The sequence below is a fragment of the Homo sapiens genome, chromosome 7 (genome assembly GCF_000001405.40).
Source record: "Homo sapiens chromosome 7, GRCh38.p14 Primary Assembly".
Classification (NCBI taxonomy): domain Eukaryota; kingdom Metazoa; phylum Chordata; class Mammalia; order Primates; family Hominidae; genus Homo; species Homo sapiens.
In genome coordinates, this window is record NC_000007.14 from 64,518,427 (window position 1) to 64,538,128 (window position 19,702).

Sequence of the window (19,702 nt, forward strand, 5' to 3'; positions counted from 1 at the left end):
CAAACGAATGGAAACACATCCCATACTCATGGATTGGTAGAATCACTATTGTGAAAATGACTACATTGCCAAAAGCAATCTAGAAATACAATGTAGCTCCCATCAAAATAGCAACATCATTCTTCACAGAATGAGAAAAGACAATCCTAAAGTTTACATAACTTTATACTATAAAGCCATAGTCACAAAAACAGCATGGTACTGATATAAAAATAGGCATATAGACCAATGGAACAGAATAGAGAACCCAGAAATAAAACCAAATACTTACAGCCAACAGATTTTTGACAAAGCAAACAAAAACATGAAGTGGGGAAAGGAAACCCTATTGAACAAATAATGGAGGGATGTTTAGCAAGCCACATGTAGAAGAATAAAACTGGAAACTCATCTCACAACTTATACAAAAATAAACTCAAGATAGACATAAGACATAAATCTAAGACCTAAAACAGTAAAAATTCTAGAAGATAACATTGGAAAAACGTTTCTAGACATTTGCTTAGGCAAAGACTTCATGAATAAGAACCCAAAAGTAAATGCAACGAAAACAAATATAAACAGATGGGGCTTAATTAAACTACAAAGCTTCTGCAGAGCAAAAATAATCAGCAGAGTTAACAGACAACCCACAGAGTGAGATAAAATATTCACAATCTATACATCTGTCAAAGGACTAAGATCCAGAATCTACAAAAAACTCATATAAACCAGCAAGAAATAAAAACAATCTCATTTAAAAGTAGGCTAAGGATATGAATAGACAATTCTCAAAAGAAGATATACGAATGGCCAAGAAACATATGGAAACTTGCTCAACATCTCTAATTATCAGAGTAATGCAAATGAAAATCACAATATGATACCACCTCACTCCTGCAAGAATGGCCATAATTAAAAAATAAAAAAATATAGTGTTGGTGGGGATGTGGTGCAAAGGGAACAATTTTACACTTCTGGTGTGAATGTAAATTAGCACCATTATGAAAAATAGTGTGGAGATTTTTTTAAAGAACTAAAAGTTGATCTATCATTTGATCTAGCAATCCCACTACTGGGTATCTATCCAGAGGAAAAAAAGGCATTATATGAAAAAAGATACTTGCACACACGTTTATAGTCTATGTGCCTATTTGTATACCAGCACCATGCTGTTTCGATGACTAAAGCTTTATAGTATAGTTTAAAGTCAGGTAATGTGATGCCTCCAGATTTGTTCTTTTCTCTTACTCTTGCTTTTGCTATGTGGAATCTAAAAGAAAATTTTATTATTTTTGATCACATCAGTTAATCTGGAGGACAGCATATTAGTTGAAATAAGCCAGGCACAGAAAGATTAACATCTCATGACCAAATAACATATTGTTACTCTCTTTTACCTCCCTCCTTGAGTAAAGTGAAAAAGGTTAAAGTTAATGGCATAATAACGCTTCATTGAATGCACAATAGTCTTAACATGTTAAAGAAATGTTTAATTATAAAATTAAGCTTATACATAATCTAAAAATTTTCAAATGTACTGCATTTATAGCATAAAAGTACAATTAGTAAAATGATTCACTAGTAATTTAATTACATTTAATTTAAAGTAAAATTAAAAATGCTTTTCTCTATGATGCAGAATATTACTCCAAACACCTACCTCATGCATCACTCAATATGAAAAGTAAACTAACAGGGCCTCTCCACTTAGATTTTCATCATAAACCTTACATTTTAATGCCCATACTCTTCCACAGAAAAAACCATAAATAATGCCCATCTAATAAAAAAGAATCTCTCCTATATCTGACACAGCAACAATTTATCACATGCTTTCACATGTGAATACAATAGGAATGAAATAAAGTAATTTGAGAGTTGAATTTCATCATTATTTACTTTTCAAATAAGCCATAATTTTTTCAAGAAAAAAAGTATACTTTCAATGTAATTATAACTCTCCAAAGAATCTTCTACTCCTTTTAAAGTTATTTACAAATAATCTAACAACTTATAGATTTTTTTATACTCAACACTCTGTTTTAGTGTAATGTCTAAAGTGTCAGTGCCTTAGTTATTTCTACTGTAAATTATTTAATATTTACATAGACTCAATTTTGGATTAAATATTTTTCATACTTACTGCATCTGCAAAAACACATTTCAATATAAATTCATGTTTTCTACGCCGTAGTTTTTGAAAAAAAATGTTTTTCCAAATTCATTACATTTGCAGGATTTTTCTCCAATATAAATTCCCTGATGTTGAACAAAGTTTGAGCAACTGCTTCAGTGTTTTTCTCTAGTACAAAATGCGTACAATAAGATTTGTAATACAAGTAAAGGTACTACAACCCTCCTATGCTCCTTATATTTGTTATGTTTGTCTTCAAAATAAACACGCTTCTTCACTTTAAAGTGTTATGTTTTCTGAAATTTCTTTTGACAGTAATTGCATTTATAATGCTTTTAATAAGTATAAACTCTGGTGTTGAGTAAGATGTGAAAAGATATCAATGACTTTTTCACATTCTTTATACTTGTACAATCTTTCTCAAGTAAAAATGCTTTCCTGTGCAATAAGATGTGAGTATTGGTTAAGTTTTGTCACATTCTTTACACTTATAAAGTTTTCTCCAATATAAATTATCTTACCTACAAGCAAGTGTAACAATCATTGGAAGGCTTTGTCAAATTCTTCACATTTTTAGGGTTTCTCAACAGGATGGTGTCTTTTATGTTTAGAAAAGTTTTAGGTGTTATCAAAATTATTGTCACATTTTTCAGGTTTGTAGAGTTTCTCACCAGTATGAATTTTCTTATGTCTAGTAAGGTGTGAGGACCGGTTAAAAGCTTTGCCACATTCTTCACATTTGTAGGGTTTCTCTCTAGCATGAATTCTCTTATGATTAGCAAGAGTTGCAGGCCAGTTAAAAACATTGCCACATTCATCACATTTGTAGGATTTCTCTCCAGTATGAATTACTTTATGGTTAGTAAGGGTTGAAAATAAAGTAAAGCCTTTGCCACATTCTTCACATTTGTAGGTATTCTCTCTAGTGTGAATTCTCTTATGTCGAGTAAGGCTGGAGCACCCATTAAAAGCTTTGCCACATTCTTCACATTTGTAGGGTTTCTCTCCAGTATGAATTCTCATATGTTCAGTAAGGTTTGAGGACTGTATAAAAGCTTTGCCGCATTCTTCACATTTGTAGGATTTCTCTCCAGTATGAATTTTCTTATGTCTAGTAAGGTTTGCAAACTGGTTAAAAGCTTTGCCACATTCTTCACATTTGTAGGGTTTCTCTCCAGTATGAATTTTCTTATGTTTAGTAAGGTTTGAAAACTGGTTAAAGTCTTTGCCACATTCTTCACATTTGAAGGGTTTCTCTCCAGTATGAATTCTCTTATGGTTAGTAAGGGTTGCAAACCAGTTAAAGGCTTTGTGACATTCATCACATTTGTAAGGTTTGTCTCCAGTATGAATTATCTTATGTTTACTAAGGATTGAGAATAAACTAAAGGCTTTGCCACATTCTTCACATTTGAAGGGTTTCTCTTCAATATGAATTTTCTTATGTTTAATAAGGGTTGAGGATTGGTTAAAGGCTTTGCCACATTCCTCACATTTGTAGGGTTTCTCTCCCATATGAATTCCCTTATGTTTAATAAGCTCTGAGAACCAGTTAAGAACTTTGCCACATTCCTCACATTTGTAAGAATTCTCTCTAGTGTGAATTCTTATATGTTGTGTTAGATGTGAAAGCATGCAAAATGATTTGCCACATTCTTTACATTTGAAAACCTTCTTTCCAGTATTTCTTTTCTTATGACTGTTTGAATTTGAAAATTTATGAAAGACTTTCACGTATTTATCACATTGAAATATTTTGCTCTGGGTAGTTCTCAAACATTGGTTAAGTTCATTATAACCTTCTTTGAACACCTTAGACTCATCCACACTTTTACAACTTATTCTTAATTGTAAATTCTCATGTCCACATTTTCCATATCCTCTCAGTATCACTTTTTGAAAAGAATCTTTTATGCTATGCTCTGGCCAAAGGTCTTCAGTGAAATGAGAATATATAACTGAAAGACATAAAAGTAACAAATTACACCACTTCCTAGACTCAGATGAATATATTTTACATATCAAATTTATAAAATTACACAAACTACATAAGCAAAATACAAAAATAAATAACTAAAAAATCCTAAAAGTTAAAAAAAAAAAAAGTTATGTACAAATGAAGAAGCTCAACAAATTAGGATACACACAATGATATTTATAACAAACACATATATAAACACAATTTCAAAAGTCACAGACAAGAAGAGAATCTTGTGAGTTGCAGTATAAAAATGATATGTCATTTACAAGCATAGTCTTTTTAAATAACCAGTGAATTTGTCAAGAAAATTTTGCAGGCAAGAAAAGAAGTGTGTGATATAGTCAAAGTCATGAAAAAAATAGATATCAAATGAGAATAATACCATCAGCAAATCTGTCCTACAAAATGGAAAAAAAAAAGAAAAAACTTCCAAAATAACCAAATTCTGAAAAAGTATATTGGCACTGCAAATTCCCTACATATAAAAGATGCTGAAAGCAGTTTCTTCCACTGAAAATAACATGACAGAAAACAACACATTATTATATAAAAATACATAACTTTATGAAAAAGATATGCACATACAAATAGAATTCCTTAACATTATTATAATGGTGCACAAAATGTTAATTATTCTCTAAAATTTGAAAGATAAAGTCATAGAAAGTATTATAAATGTCTATTAATATACAACATAAAACGAAATAATTAGCAACATTAATAACAAAGTTCAGGGCAGATGTAATGAAATAGAACTTTTATATGCAAGGGAAGTTAATTTTTCTACCAGATTATAATGTATATTGTATCCTTTAGAGGTTTTATGTAATCCCCAAGGTACCACAAAGAAAGTATTTTGTATATCTGTATAGATATACAAAAGAAAATAGGAAGGAAGTGAAAGCATTTCAATACAAAAATCAACAAGACACCAAGGATGACAGAGAGAAAATCAGAGACAAAAAAGAATCAAATAAAACAATAAAATAACATTCTTTCTCTTTCAGAAAATTATCCAAATATATACATATGTAAAATATATATGTAAAATTAACTTTCCAATCAAGAGATATACTTTCATTAAAGGGATTTATTAAAAGAATTTTAAGGCCGGGCGTGGTGGCTCACACCTATAATCCCAGCACTTTGGGAGGCCGAGGCGGGCGGATCACGAGGTCAGAAGATTGAGACCATCCTGGCTAACATGGTGAAACCCTGTCTCTACTAAAAATACAAAAAATTAGCTGGGCATGGTGGTGGGCGCCTGTAGTCCCAGCTACTTGGGAGGCTGAGGCGGGAGAATGGTGTGAACCCAAGAGGCGGAGCTGGCAGTGAGCTGAGATCGCGCCACTGCACTCCAGCCTGGGCGACAGAGCGAGACTCCATCTCAAAAAAAAAAAAAGAATTTTAAAAACCAAGATCCAACATGCCTTTTTACAAGGGCCAGGATAGATCTAATGATAAACAGACTGAAAGTAGCAAGACAAAAGTACACATTTCATGTAAATATTAATCAAATGAGAGAAGAAGAGGTCAAAATATTACACAAAATACATCTTAAGTCAAAAACTGTCATATTTTATGAAATATACTTGAAGTCAAACTCCAAAGAGACAAAGAAGAATTTTTTTTTTTTTTTTTGAGATGGAGTTTCGCTCTTGTTGCCTAGGCTGGAGTGCAATGGTGAGATGTCAGCTCACTGCAACCTCTGCCTTCCGGGTTCAAGCGATTCTCCTGCCTCAGCCTCCCTAGTAGCTGGGATTACAGGCACCCACCACCATACCCAGCTAATTTTTTGTATTTTTAGTAGAGACGAGGTTTCACTCAAACTCCTGACCTCAGGCAATCCACCCACCTCAGCCTCCCTAAGTGCTGGGATTATAGGCATGAGCCACCACGCCTGGCTCACAAAGAAGAATATTAAACAGTAATAGATTCATTTACTGGGAACCAATGACAAATTTGTATATAGCAGTGTGTGTATCTCACATTAAGTTTCCAAATATATAAAGCAAATACAGTCAGAATGAAAGAAACACATACAGAGCAATATAATTATAGTAGAATATTTTAATGCTTCACTTTCTGTAATAAAGATTTTAAAAAGACAAAATATTGGTAAAGAAACCGGACTTGAAGGGAGTATAAAACAATTATTAATAACAGAGGCATAAAGAACACTCAACAACATAATGATAAACAGCCTTCTCAATACCTCATACGAAATTCTCCTTGATAGAAAACCTGGTAAACCAAAAAAGAAGTCTTAACAAATTATTTAAAACTAAATTTTTATGGATTACTTTCTATGACCAAAATGAAATGAGTATAGAACAGTAAGAAGAAAAAACTGAAAAATTCACAAATACATAGAAATTAAAACAATACACTCTTGAGCATGCTTGTTGAAATGTTAAAATAATTAATCTTGTGAAGATGTCCATCCTGCTCAATGTAATTTACAGATTTAATGCAATGTTGTTCAAATTTCTCATGCATTTTTGAAGAAATAGAAACAGCAACCCCCAAAGTATATAAAGTCTTAAGAGATAATAAAGTACCCAAAAATCTGCAATAAAATAAACAATTTTGAAGGCATTACAGTTTCTGATTTTGAAACACATTACAGAGCTACAGAATTGTAACAATTTGGTATGAGTACAAAGGTAAAAACGTACACTAGTAGAACAGAATGCGGCACATATATAAACTTACACATATATGATCATATAGGTCATTTGCATACCTGTAATTATTGCAGCATTGTTACTGAAAGCCAATAGGTAAAAGCAGTGCAAATTTGTCACCAAATTACTCAGTAGATATAATCTAAAATACAAAATACTTAAATATCACCCAGTATTTAAAAAGCAGAAAATATTCTAACAACTATAAAGCTTGATGATATTGTGCAAAATAAAATGAGCCAGTCACAAAAAGACAGAGATTGTATGAGATATATGAAGCAGTTACACTCTTAGAGAAAACAGAGTGGTGTTTGAAAAGTGCCAGGAAATGGGTAAAATTCATAGTTTTTTAATGGGTATTGATATTTAGCTTTGCAAGATAAAAACATTTTAGGAATATGTTGCATAACAATGTCAATATAATAGGACTAAAATAAACATTTAAAAATATTCTATTGTAAATGTTATGTGTTTTTGACAAGTAAAAATAGACATACCTAAAAGAGATTATGATCGTTTGTAAATTATCTTTAAATAGAAAAGTTTTTCTCCCACACAAAAATAATATAGATCCATGAATAAATAGATGTTGAAATTAGGAGAATTTCTATGACTTCTCACCTAGTCAAGATTAAATAACCATTTGCAACAAACCTATACCAGAAATATACAAGTCATAAAAAGAACAGGGAAAATATTTATACAGGTAAACACAGAGATCGTTATATTGGTAGTAGACATATGGCTGATTCATATTTGACTTTGTTCCACACTGTCTTAAATTTTACAGAGTTAAATACTGGCATACTCAATTATAATATAAACTAAAAAACCAAAACAATTAACTCATGTGAGGTGGCATATCCTAAAATATATAAAACAAAAATATAAAATTCCAAAAGAAAATTAAAACATGAAATGTAAAACTTATTGGACACCATCAAGTACATCAATATATTCATTAAAAAACTCTTAGAAGAAGAATGTAGGGAAAAAGTAATGTAGAGGTTACTTGTAGATGAAAAAGGCTAAGAACTTCCCAAATTTTGATGCAGTAATAAAATTCCTAACCAAGAATACTTGATTCAAGATTAGTGTACTTTAAAAACAGATAAAAATAAAGACTTTTCAAAATAAAAGGTGACAGTGTTATGATTCATTATGACTAGCACAGTTCTACATGAAGGGCTACATAGTAGCCTGGCAAAGTGGATTATTTCTGTAATCCCACATCTTTAGGGAGGCCAAGGCAGTAAGATAACTTGAGACCAGGAGTTCAAGATCAGCCTGAGCAACACAGTAAGACTCTGCATATAAACAAACAGAAATGCTAAAATGAGTCCATTATTTAAAAAAAAAAAATGATGCTGGACAGCATCATAAAACTATATATAAATATAAAGCTATTAAATGTAAATATACACACACACATACAATTCTTTACTCTCATAATGATGGAGCATAAAACCTTTAAAGTTATTCTATATGAGAAACTAAAAATAAGTCTGCATAAATCTGTCGATACCCAATAAAAAATAATAGTTTTTAACATCAACAAAAAACTGGAAAACATATTAGTTTTTGCATTAAATTGAAGTTGTTATGAAATTAAAATATATTGTTTTAACTTTAAGATGTTTTATGTAATCTCCACTTTTCAAGATAATTACATTGTATTTCCAGAAAGTATGTGAAACAAATTTTAAAATAATCAAAGTATGTCACAACAAACTTAACCAAAAATTGGCAGGGCAAGGTGGCTCACACCTGTAATCCCTGCATTTTGGGAGGCCGAGGTGGGCCGATCACCTGAGGTCGGGAGTTCGAGGCCATCCTGGCCAACATGGCGAAACCCCTTCTCTACTAAAAGTACAAAAATTAACTGGGTGTGGTGGCAGGTGCCGGTAATTCCAGCTACTCAGGAGGATGGGGCAGGAGAATCACTTGAACCCAGGAGGCGGAGGCTGCAGTGAGCCGAGATCACGCCATTGCACTCCAGCCTGGGCAATAAGAGCAAGATTCTGTCTCAAATAAATAAATAAATAAATAAACAAACAAAAATAAGCACTAAAATGAACAATGAAAAAGAAAACATATCTACAAGAAACACATAAAACAATAACAATAAACTGATAATAGTAACTTTATTTCTTTAAGCAATCATTTTAAAAATACATTAATTAAACTAATTAATAAAAAAAGGTGCTGGGCACAGTGGCTCACGCCTGTAATCCCAGCAGTTTGGGAGGCCGAGGAGGGTGGATCACCCAAGGTCAGAAGTTCGAGACCAGCCTGACCAACATGGAGAATCCCCGTCTCTACTAAAAATACAAAATTAGCCGGGCATGGTGGCACAGGCCTATAATCCCAGCTACCAGGGCAGCTGAGGCAGGAGAATCACTTGAACCCGGGAGGCAGAGGTTGTGGTGAGCCGAGATGGCGCCATTGCACTCCGGCCTGAGCAACAACAGCAAAACTCTGTCTCCAAAAAAAAAAAAAGTGATCCCAGGACTTTGAGAAGCCAAGGTGGGCTGATCAGTTGATCTCAAGAATTTGAGGACAAATCTGGGGGCATCATGGTGGATGGGAGGCAGGACTAGACTGCAGCTCCAACTCAGGCGAACAAAGCAGTGTGTGAAGGCTTGCGTCATAAATTTTAGCTTCAGAATAACTGCAGGAATAAATCAGGAAACCTGAAATGACCCACAGATCCTCTGAATGAAGCAGACTGCTCCTACAGGACTCAGGAGACACCCCAAATACTGTGAGTATACAAACTGCAGAAGTGGAAAAGGGAGATCCTTCACCGCTGAACATGCACCCCCACTGGGGAAACTGAAGGTCTAGTTTGTGGGAGAAGATGCCGACCTTACCTGGAGGTGAGTCAATTGAGAGCCAAGTGAAATATGGGGGGTGGAAGAAGCAGCAGAAAAGGCCCTAGGAGCTCACTGGGTCCCCAAGCAGGCCATTCCTTCCTGGCATCACAAGGATCTTTTTGGAGGGCAGCCACAGGCACGAGAAAAACACCACAGGGAGAAGAAAACCTCCAGCTGAACTTTGTGACAATTTGAACCAGCTGAGAAGCCTCCGGGCCAGAACTCGGCAAAGGGCGAGAATCCATCAAATCCATCCTGCAGACTCCACAGGTCACAGGTCACAGGGCCGGGGAAGAACTAATGCCCTTTTCTTTCACAGCTAGGAGGTGGGTAGCCTGGGGCAAGTTCTTAGCCCAGCTTGCTAACTGCGTGAAAACAGTCTTGGTGCTGTTAGGTGGGGCACAGTAGGAGTAAGACCAGCCCTTTGGATTGTGTAGAAGTTGGGTGAGGCAGGTGACTGCCAGCTTTTCCCCACTTCCCTGACAACCTGCATGACTTGGCAGAAGCAGCCATTATCCTCCTAGGTACATAAATCCATTGACCTGGGAACTTCACCCCCATCCTCAAAAGCAGCCAAAGCAGTATGTACCCAAGGAGAGTCTGAGTTCAGACACACCTAGCCCTGCCCCTACCCAGTGGTCCTTCCCTACCCACACTCGTATCTGAACACAAAGGGCATATACTCTAAGAAGTTGTAAGGCCCCACCCACTGGGTTCCTCTCCACCCTACCACAGCTGATGCTCTCTGGAAAGCACCACTTCCCAGAAGGAGGCAAATCAGCACAATAAGAGAGCATTAAATCACCAGTGCTAAGAACACTGGAAGAGTCCATTTCACCCCCGCTACCACCTCCACTGAAACAGGTGCTGGTATCCACAGCTGAGAAACCCATAAACAGTTCACAACACAGAACTCCGGGCAGACAACCCTTAGTTCCAGCCCAAAGTTTGGTAGATTTGCTGGGTGGCTATACCTAGAAGGGAGATAACAATCAATACAGCTCGGCTCTCAGGAAGCCACATCCACAGGAAAAGGGTAGAATACCAAATAAAGGGAACAAAAGAATCTGAAAAACAGCCTTCAGCCCTAGACCTTCCTTCTGACAGAGCCTACGCCACTGCAAAGGAACCAAAAAACCAACTCTGGTAATATGACAAAACAAGGCTCTTTAACGCCCCCAAATTATCACACTAGCTAACCAGCAATAAATCCAAACCAAGAAGGAATCCCTGTTTTACCTGAAAAAGAATTCAGGAGGTTAGTTATTAGGCTAATAAGAAAGGCATCAGAGAAAGGCGAAGCCCAGTGCAAGGAAATTCAAAGAACAATACACAAAACAAAGGGAGAAATATTCAAGAAAATAGATAACATAAAGAAAAAACAATCAAAACTTCAGGAAACACTGGACACACTTACAGTAAAGTCTCAGCAATAGAATTGAATGAATAGAAGAAAGAAATTCAGAGCTCAAAGACAAGGTCTTCAAATTAACCCAATCCAACAAAGACAAAGAAAAAATAATAAGAAAATATGAACAAAGCCTCCAAGAAGTCTGGGATTATGTTAAATGACCACACCTAAGAATAATTGGCATTTGTGAGAAAGAAGAGAAATCTAAAAGTTTGGAAAACACACTTGGGTTGATAACCGAGAAAAGCTTCCTCAGCCTTACTAGAGACCTAGACATCCAAATACAAGATGCACAAAGAACACCTGAGAAATTTATCACAAAAAGAGTATCACCTAGGCACACTGCCATCAGGTTATCTAAAGTTAAGACAAGGAAAAACATCTTAAGAGTTGTCAGACAAAAGCACCAGGTAACCTATAAAGTAAAAACTATCAGATTAACAGCAGATTTCTCAGCAGAAATCCTACAAGCTAGAAGGGACTGGGGCCCTATCTATCTTCAGCCTCCTCAAACAAAACAATTATCAGCCAAGAATTCTGTATCCAGTGAAACTAAGCATCACATATGAAGGAAAGATATAGTCTTTTTCAGACAAACAAATTCTGTGATAATTCATCATTACCAAGCCACTACTACAAGAACTGCTAAAAGAGCTCTAAATCTTGAAACAAATTTTGGAAATATACCAAAACAGAACCTCTTTAAAGCATAAATCTCACAGGACCTATAGAACAAAAATACAATTTAAAAAGCAAAAACAAAAAAACAAAAACCAAGGTACACAGGCAACAAATGGCACGATAAATGAAATGGTATCTCACATCTAAATACTAACATTGAATGTAAGTGGCCTAAATCTGCCACTTAAAAGATACAGAATGGATAAGAATTAACCAACCATCTGATGCCTTCAAGAGACTAACTTAACACATAAGAACTCACATAAAATTAAAGTAAAGGGGTGGAAAAAAACATTTCATGCAAATGGACACCAAAAGTGAGCAGGAGTAGCTATTCTTGTATCAGACAAAACAAACTTTAAAGCAGCTGCAGTTTAAAAAGACAAAGAGGGACATTATAGAACAATAAAAGGCCTTGGCTGGTTCAATCCCAGCACTTTGGGAGGCTGAGGCAGGTGGATCACAAGATCAGGAGTTCAAGACCAGCCTGGCCAAAATGGAGAAACTCCATCTCTACTAAAAATACAAAAATTAGCCGGGTGTGGTGGCAGGCACCTGTAATCCCAGCTACTCGGGAGGCTGAGGAGGAGAACTGCTTGAACCCAGGAGGCGGAGGTTGCAGTGAGCCAAGATTGTGCCACTGCACTCCAGCCTGGGCAACAGAGCGAGACTCCATCTCAAAAAAAAAAATTTAAAAATAATAATAATAATAATAGTAATAATAATAATAATAAAAGGCCTTGTCCAACAGAAAAACATCACAAACCTAAACATTCATGCACCTAACATTGGAGCTTCTAAATTTATAAAACAATTACTAATAGACCTAAAAAATGTGATAAACACAGTAAGAGTGGGGAATTTCAATAGTCCACTGACAGAACTAGACAGATCAAGACAGAAAATTAACAAAGAAACAACGGACTTAAACTATACCTTGAAACAAATGGACTTAACAGATATATACAAAACATTCCATCCAACAACCGCAGAATACACATTCTACTCAACAGCGGGTGAAACTTTCTCCAAGATAGACCATATGATAGGCCACAAAACAAGCCTCAATAAGTTAAAGAATATTGAAATTATATCAAACACTCTCTCAGACTACAGTGGAATAAAACTAGAAATCAGCCGGGCGCAGTGACTCACGCCTGTAATCCCAGCACTTTGGAAGGCTGAGGTGGGCAGATCACGAGGTCAGGAGATCAAGACCACCCTGGCTAACATGGGGAAACCCCGTCCCTACTAAAAAATACAAAAAAATTAGCCAGGCATGGTGGCGGGTGCCTGTAGTCCCAGCTACTCGGGTGGTTGAGGCAGGAGAATGGCGTGAACTCAGGAGGTGGAGCTTGCAGTGAGCCAAGATCGTGCCACTGCACTCCAGCCTGGGCAACACAGTGAGACTCCGTCTCAAAAAAAAAAAAAAAAAAACCTAGAAATCAACTCCAAAAAAACCTTCAAAACCATGCAAATACATGGAAATTAAATAACCTGCTTCTGAATGATCATTGGGTCAAAAATGAAACCAAGATGAAAATTTAAAAATTTGTCTAACTGAATGACAATAATGACCCAACCTATGAAAACCTCTGGGATACAGCAAAGGTAGTGCTAAGAGGAAAGTTCATAGCCCTAAATGCCTACATCAAAAAGACTGATAGAGCACAAACTGAGACTGTAAGGTCACACTTCAAGAAACTAGAGAAACAAGAAAAAAACAAATCCAAATGCAACAGAAGAAAGGAAATAATCAAGATTAGAGCAAAACTAAATGAAACTGAAGCAAAAAAATACAAAAGATAAATGAAACAAAAAGCTGTTTCTTTGAAAACATAAATAGGCCAGGCACGGTGGCTCACGCCTGTAATCCCAGTACTTTGGGAGGCCCAGGGGGGCAGATTACAAGGTCAGGCGACTGAGACCATCCTAGCTAACACGGGGAAACCCCATCTCTACTAAAAATACAAAAAATTAGCCGGGCATGGTGGTGGGCACCTGTCGTCCCAGCTACTCGGGAGGCTGAGGCAGGAGAATGGCCTGAACCTGGGAGGCAGAGCTTGCAGTGAGCCGAGATCGTACCACTGCACTCCAGCCTGGGCAACAGAGAGAGACTCCATCTCAAAAAAAAAAAAGAAAAGAAGAGAGAAAATCTAAATAACCTCAATAAGAAACAAAATGGGAGATATTACAACTGATACCACATTAATACAAAAGATCATTCAAGGCTACGATGAATACCTTTACACACATAAACTCGAAAACCTAGAAGAGATGAATAAATTCCTGTAAAAATAAAACCCTCCTACCCTGAACAGACCAAAAGCAAGTAGCTTTTAAAATGGTAATTTTAGAATTACCAACAAAAAAAGTCCAAGACCAGACAGATTCACAGCAGAATTCTACCAGACACTCAAAGAAGAATTGGTACCAATCCTATTGACACTATTCCAGAAGACAGAGTAAGAGGGAACCCTCCCTAATTCATTCTATGAAGCCAACATCATGCTAATATCAAAACCAGAAAAGGACATGATCAAAAAAGAAAACTACAGACTTATATCCCTGATGAACATAGATGCTAAAATCCTTAACAAAATACCAGCTAACTGAATCCAACAACATATCAAAAAGATAATCCATCATGATCAAGTGAGTTTCATACCAGGGATGCAGAGATGGTTTAATATATGCAAGTCAATAAGTGTGATACACCACATAAACAGAGTTAAAACTTACATGATCATCTCAATAGATGCAGAAAAAGCATTTGACAAAATCCAGCATCTCTTTATGATTAAAACTCTCAGCAAAATTGGCATACAAGGGACATACCTCCACGTAATAAAAGTCATCTATGACAAACCCACAGCCAACATAATACTGAATGGGAAAAAAGTTGAAAGCATTCCCTTTGAGAACTGGAACAAGACAAGGATACCCACTCTCACAACTCTTCTTCAACATAGCACTGGAAGTCCTAGCCAGAGCAATCAGACAAGAGAAATAAAGGGCATCCAAATCAGTAAAGAGAAAGTCAAACTGTCACTGTTTGCTGGTGATATGATCTTTTATCTTGAAAACCCCAAAGACTCCTCCAAAAAACTCCTAGAACTGATAAAAGAATTGAGCAAAGTTTCCAGGTATAAGATTAATGTACACAAACCAGTAGCTCTTCTATACACCAACAGTGACCTAGTGGAGAATCAAATCAAGAACTCAACCCCTTTTACAGTAGCTGCAAAAATAATAAAATACTTAGAAATATACCTAATCAATTACATGAAAGACCTCTACAAGGAAAACTACAAAACACTGCTGAAAAAAATCATAGACAACACAAACAAATGGAAACACATTTTATGCTTATGGATAGGTAGAATTAATCTTGTGGAAAATGACCATACTGCAAAAAGCAATAAACAAACTCAATACAATCCCCATCAAAATACTACCATAATTCTTCACAGAATTAGAAAAACCAATTCTAAAATGTATACAGAACGAAAAAAGAGCCCACATAGCCAAAGCAAGACTAAGCAAAAGAATAAATCTGGAGGCATCAGACTACCTGATTTCAAACTATACTATAAGCCATAGTTACCAGAACAGCATGTTACTATTATAAAAATCGGCACATAGAACAACGGAACAGAATAGCGAACCCAGAAATAAACTCAAATACTTACAGCCAACTGATCTTTCAGAAAGCAAACAAAAACATAAGTGGGAAAAGGAAACCCTTTTCAACAAAAGGTGCTGGGAAAATTGGCTAGCCACATGTAGGAGAATAAAACTGGATCTTTATCTCTCACCTTATACAAAAATAAACTCAAGATAGATTAAGGACTTAAATGTAAGACCTGAAACTATAAAAATTCTGTAAGATAACATTGGAAAAACCCTTCTAAACATTGGCTTAGGCAAGGATTTCATGACCAAGAACCCAAAAGCAAATGCAATAAAAACAAAGATAAATAGCTGGAACTTAATTAAACAAAAGAGCTTTTGCACAGCAAAAGGAACAGTCAGCAGAGTAAACAGACAACCCACAGAGTGGGAAAGGATCTTCACAATTTATACATCTGACAAAGGACTAATATCCAGAATCTACAATGAACTCAAATCAGCAAGAAAAAAACAAACAATCCCATCGAAAAGTGGGCTAAGGACACGAATAAACATTTCTCAAAAGAAGATATACAAATGGCCAACAAAAATATGAAAAAATGCTCCACATCACTAATGATCAGGGAAATGCATATCAAAACCATAATGCAGTACCACCTTACTTTTGCAAGAATGATCATATCAAAAAATCGTAAAACAGTAGATGCTGGCACAGATGCGGTGATCAGGGAACACTTCTACACTGCTGGTGGGAATGTAAACTAGTACAACCACTATGGAAAACAGTGTGGAGATTCCTTAAAGAACTAAAGGTAGAACTACCATTTGACCCAGCAATCCCACTATTGGGTATCTACCCACAGGAAAAGAAGTTACTATCTGAAAAAGATACTTGCACACGCATGTTTATAGCAGCACAATTTGCAATTGCAAAATCATGGAACCAACCCAAATGCCCATCAATCAACAATGGGATAAAGAAACTGTGGTATATATATAGGATACTACTCAGCCATAAGAAGGAATGAACCAATGGCATTTGCAGTGACCTGGATGAGATTGGAGACTATTATTCTAAGTGAAGTAACTCAGGAATGGAAAACCAAACATTGTATGTTCTCACTGATATGTGGGAGCTAAGCTATGAGGATGCAAAGGCATAAGAACGATACAATAAACTTTGGGGACTTGGGGGGGCTTGGGTGGGAGGGGGGCAAGAGATAAAAGGCTACAAATAGGGTGTAGTGAATACTGCTTACGTGATGAGTGCACCAAAATCTAAAAAATTACCACTAAAGAACTTACTCATGGAACCAAACACCCTATAGAAAAATAAAATTTAAAAAATAAAAGAGAATTTGAGACCAGTCTGGACAACATTGTCTCTATCAAAAATACAAAAAAACTAACTGGATGTGATGGTGCATATTTGTAACCCAGCTACTGGAGACGCTGAAGTTAGAGAATTTTCTAAGTTTAGAAAGTTGAGGATGCAGTGGGTCATTAATTATCACGCCACTGCAAACCAGCCTGGCTGACAGAGCGAGGCCACAAGAAAGAACAAAAGAAAGAAAAGAAGGAAGGAAGGAAAGAAGGAAAGAAGGAAGGGAGGGAGGGAGGGAGAGAGAGAGAGAGACAGAGAGAGAGAAAGAGAAAAAGAAATAAGACGCCTGAATGGCTTCAGTAAAAAAGCATACAATATGTTCTCTATACGAGACTCATTTTAGCATTGAGTCAAATAGGCTGAAAGTAACAAAATGAAAAAAATCTTATTTCATGCCAATAGTAACCACGATTGGGTGAGATGGTCATCATTATATTAGATATAATATACTTTAAGTGAAGTACTTGGCCAGGCACGGTGGCTCATGCCTGTAATCCCAGCACTTTGGGAGTCCGAAGCAGGTGAATCACTTGAGGTCAGGAGTTCGAGACCAGCCTGGACAAAATGATGAAACCCCATCTCTACCCAAAATACAAAAAGTAGCCAGGCATCGTAGCACACACCTGTAATCCCAGCTACTCGAGAGGCTGAGGCAAGAGAATTGCTTGAACTCGGGAGGCAGAGGTTGCAGTGAGTCGAGATCACACCACCGCACTCCAGCCTGGGCGACAGAATGAGATTCTGTCTCAAAAAAACAAAAACACAAACAAACAAATAAGTCAAGTAGTAGCATTAATCAAAGATTGATATTATATAATGGTAAGTAAAATGGGTCAATTTACCAGGAATCTATAACTATCATATTTATCTATCTATATGTATGTGTATTAATAACATCAGGTCTCCAAAATATATAAAGCAAATATTGACAAAGGTGAAGAAAGAAATACATAGCAACATAATAATTGTAGATATCAAGACCCCATTTTCAATAATAAAAAATTAAGAGAAAAGATTAATAAGAAAACAGAAAACTTAGACATTATAGACTGTATTGATTATTTTGCATATAGAGGAATAGCTAAGAGTGGATGATTTATAAAGAAACATGTTTATTTGGCTCACACTTTGGCAGACTGTACAAGAAGTGTGTGCCAGCATCTGCTTCTGGTGAGGGTCTCAGGAAGCTTACAATCATGATGGAAGGCAAAGAGTAACTGGACATATCACATGGTAAGAGACAGAGCAAGTGTGAGGTGAAGGAAACACGTTCTTTTAATGAAGCAGCTTTCATTTGAATTAATAGAGTGTAAACTTTCTGATTACCACGAGGATGGCGTCATGCCATTCATGAGGAATTTGCCCCCATGACCCAAACACCTCCCACCAGGTCCCACATCCAACATTAAGGATTACATTGCAACATGAGGTCTGGAGAACACGGACACCCACACCATAGCATAGAACAACTAGGCTTAACAGACTCATAAAAAACTTCTCAGTCAAAAGCAACAGAATATATGATATTCTTATTTGCACCTAGTGTATTCTGTTAAAACACATAATGGGTCTTATTAAATTTAACAATAACAACTGGGTGCAGTGGCTCATGCCTATAATTCCAACACTTTGGGAGACCAAGGTGGGAGTATCATTTGGCACAAGAAGTTTCAGGCCAGCCTAGGTAACACAGTGAGGCCCTGTCCCTACAAATAATCAAAAAAAATAGCTAGACATGATAGTGCATGTCTGTAGTTTCAGCTACACGGGGAGCTGAGGTGGAAGGATCACTTGAGCCCAGGAGGCTGAGGCTGCAGTGAGCCAAAATTATGCCACTGCACTCCAGCCTGAGTGACAGTAAAATCCTGTCTCAAAACAACAATGATGAATAAATCTAAGAACACCAAAATCATACACTGTGTGTTTTCTGACAAAAACTTAATAAAACTAGGAATTAAAAGCAAACGTAAAATTGGCAAATCCAAAAATATATGAAAATGAAACACACAGGCTGGGTGTAGTGGCTCAAATGTGTAAACTTAGAACTTCAGGAGGCCAAGGCAGAAGGATTACCTGTGCCTAGGAGTTTGAAAGTAGCCTGGGCAACAAGGTGAGACCCTGTCTTTAAATTTAATTTAATTTAAAATAAAATAAAACATACTCTTTGACATAGTTTTGCTCAAGGGTCAAAAAATTTAATTTTGTTAAGATGTCAATATAACCTAAAGTGGTAAAAAAATTCAATATGATCTCTATAAAAATCCCAATAGCACAGTTTTTTTTACAGAAATGTTTAAAATTTTTTAATTTGATTATGATCATAACTAGCTAAACAACCATGAAAAAAAAGCATTATACTTCCTGATTGAAAAACATATTAAAAGCTACAACAGCAAAAACAATGTGGTACTGACACAATGACATATAAAGAGATAAAAAACAGAATAGACGGCCAGGTGCGCTGGCTCACGCCTGTAATCCCAGCATTTTGGGAGGCCAAGGCGGGCAGATCACAAGGTCAGGAGATCGAGACCATCCTGGCTAACACAGTGAAACCCTGTCTCTACTAAAAATACAAAAAACAATTAGCCGGGCGTGGTGGCGGGCGCCTGTAGTCCCAGCTATTTGGGAGGCTGAGGCAGGAGAATGACGTGAACCCGGGAGGCAGAGCTTGCAGTGAGCTGAGATAGCACCACTGCACTCCAGACTGGGTGACACAGCAAGACTCCATCTCCAAAAAAAAACAAAAAAACAAACAAAAACAGAATAGAGAGCCCAGAAAAGAACGCTTTTGTGTATGATCAAATGATCTTTCACTAAGTCACCATTAACACATGATAGAGAAAAGATAATCTTTTCAAAAAAATAACGTTGAAATCAGGTTATCTACACTGATAAAGCTGAATCCTTTCCTTGAACTATATACAAAGAAT

General features: G+C 36.3%; 1 protein-coding gene across 11 annotated transcripts in view; it reads right to left on the reverse strand.

The window, feature by feature from the left end:
• Window positions 1-19,702, reverse strand: part of ZNF680 (zinc finger protein 680) — a 64,003-nt gene that overhangs the window by 19,358 nt on the left and 24,943 nt on the right. For 4 of the 11 annotated variants that reach the window (NM_178558.5, XM_047420309.1, XM_047420310.1 and 1 more), the window contains one exon: window positions 1,452-4,074. In NM_178558.5, the coding sequence (NP_848653.2) occupies window positions 2,735-4,074 (1,340 nt within the window). In that variant the 3' untranslated portion in view covers window positions 1,452-2,734. Of the gene's footprint in view, window positions 1-1,451; window positions 4,075-6,229; window positions 8,092-12,307; window positions 12,321-17,392; window positions 17,515-19,702 lie in introns of those variants that run through there. The other 7 variants (XR_428175.5, XR_007060018.1, XR_001744687.2 and 4 more) reach the window with 6 other exon arrangements.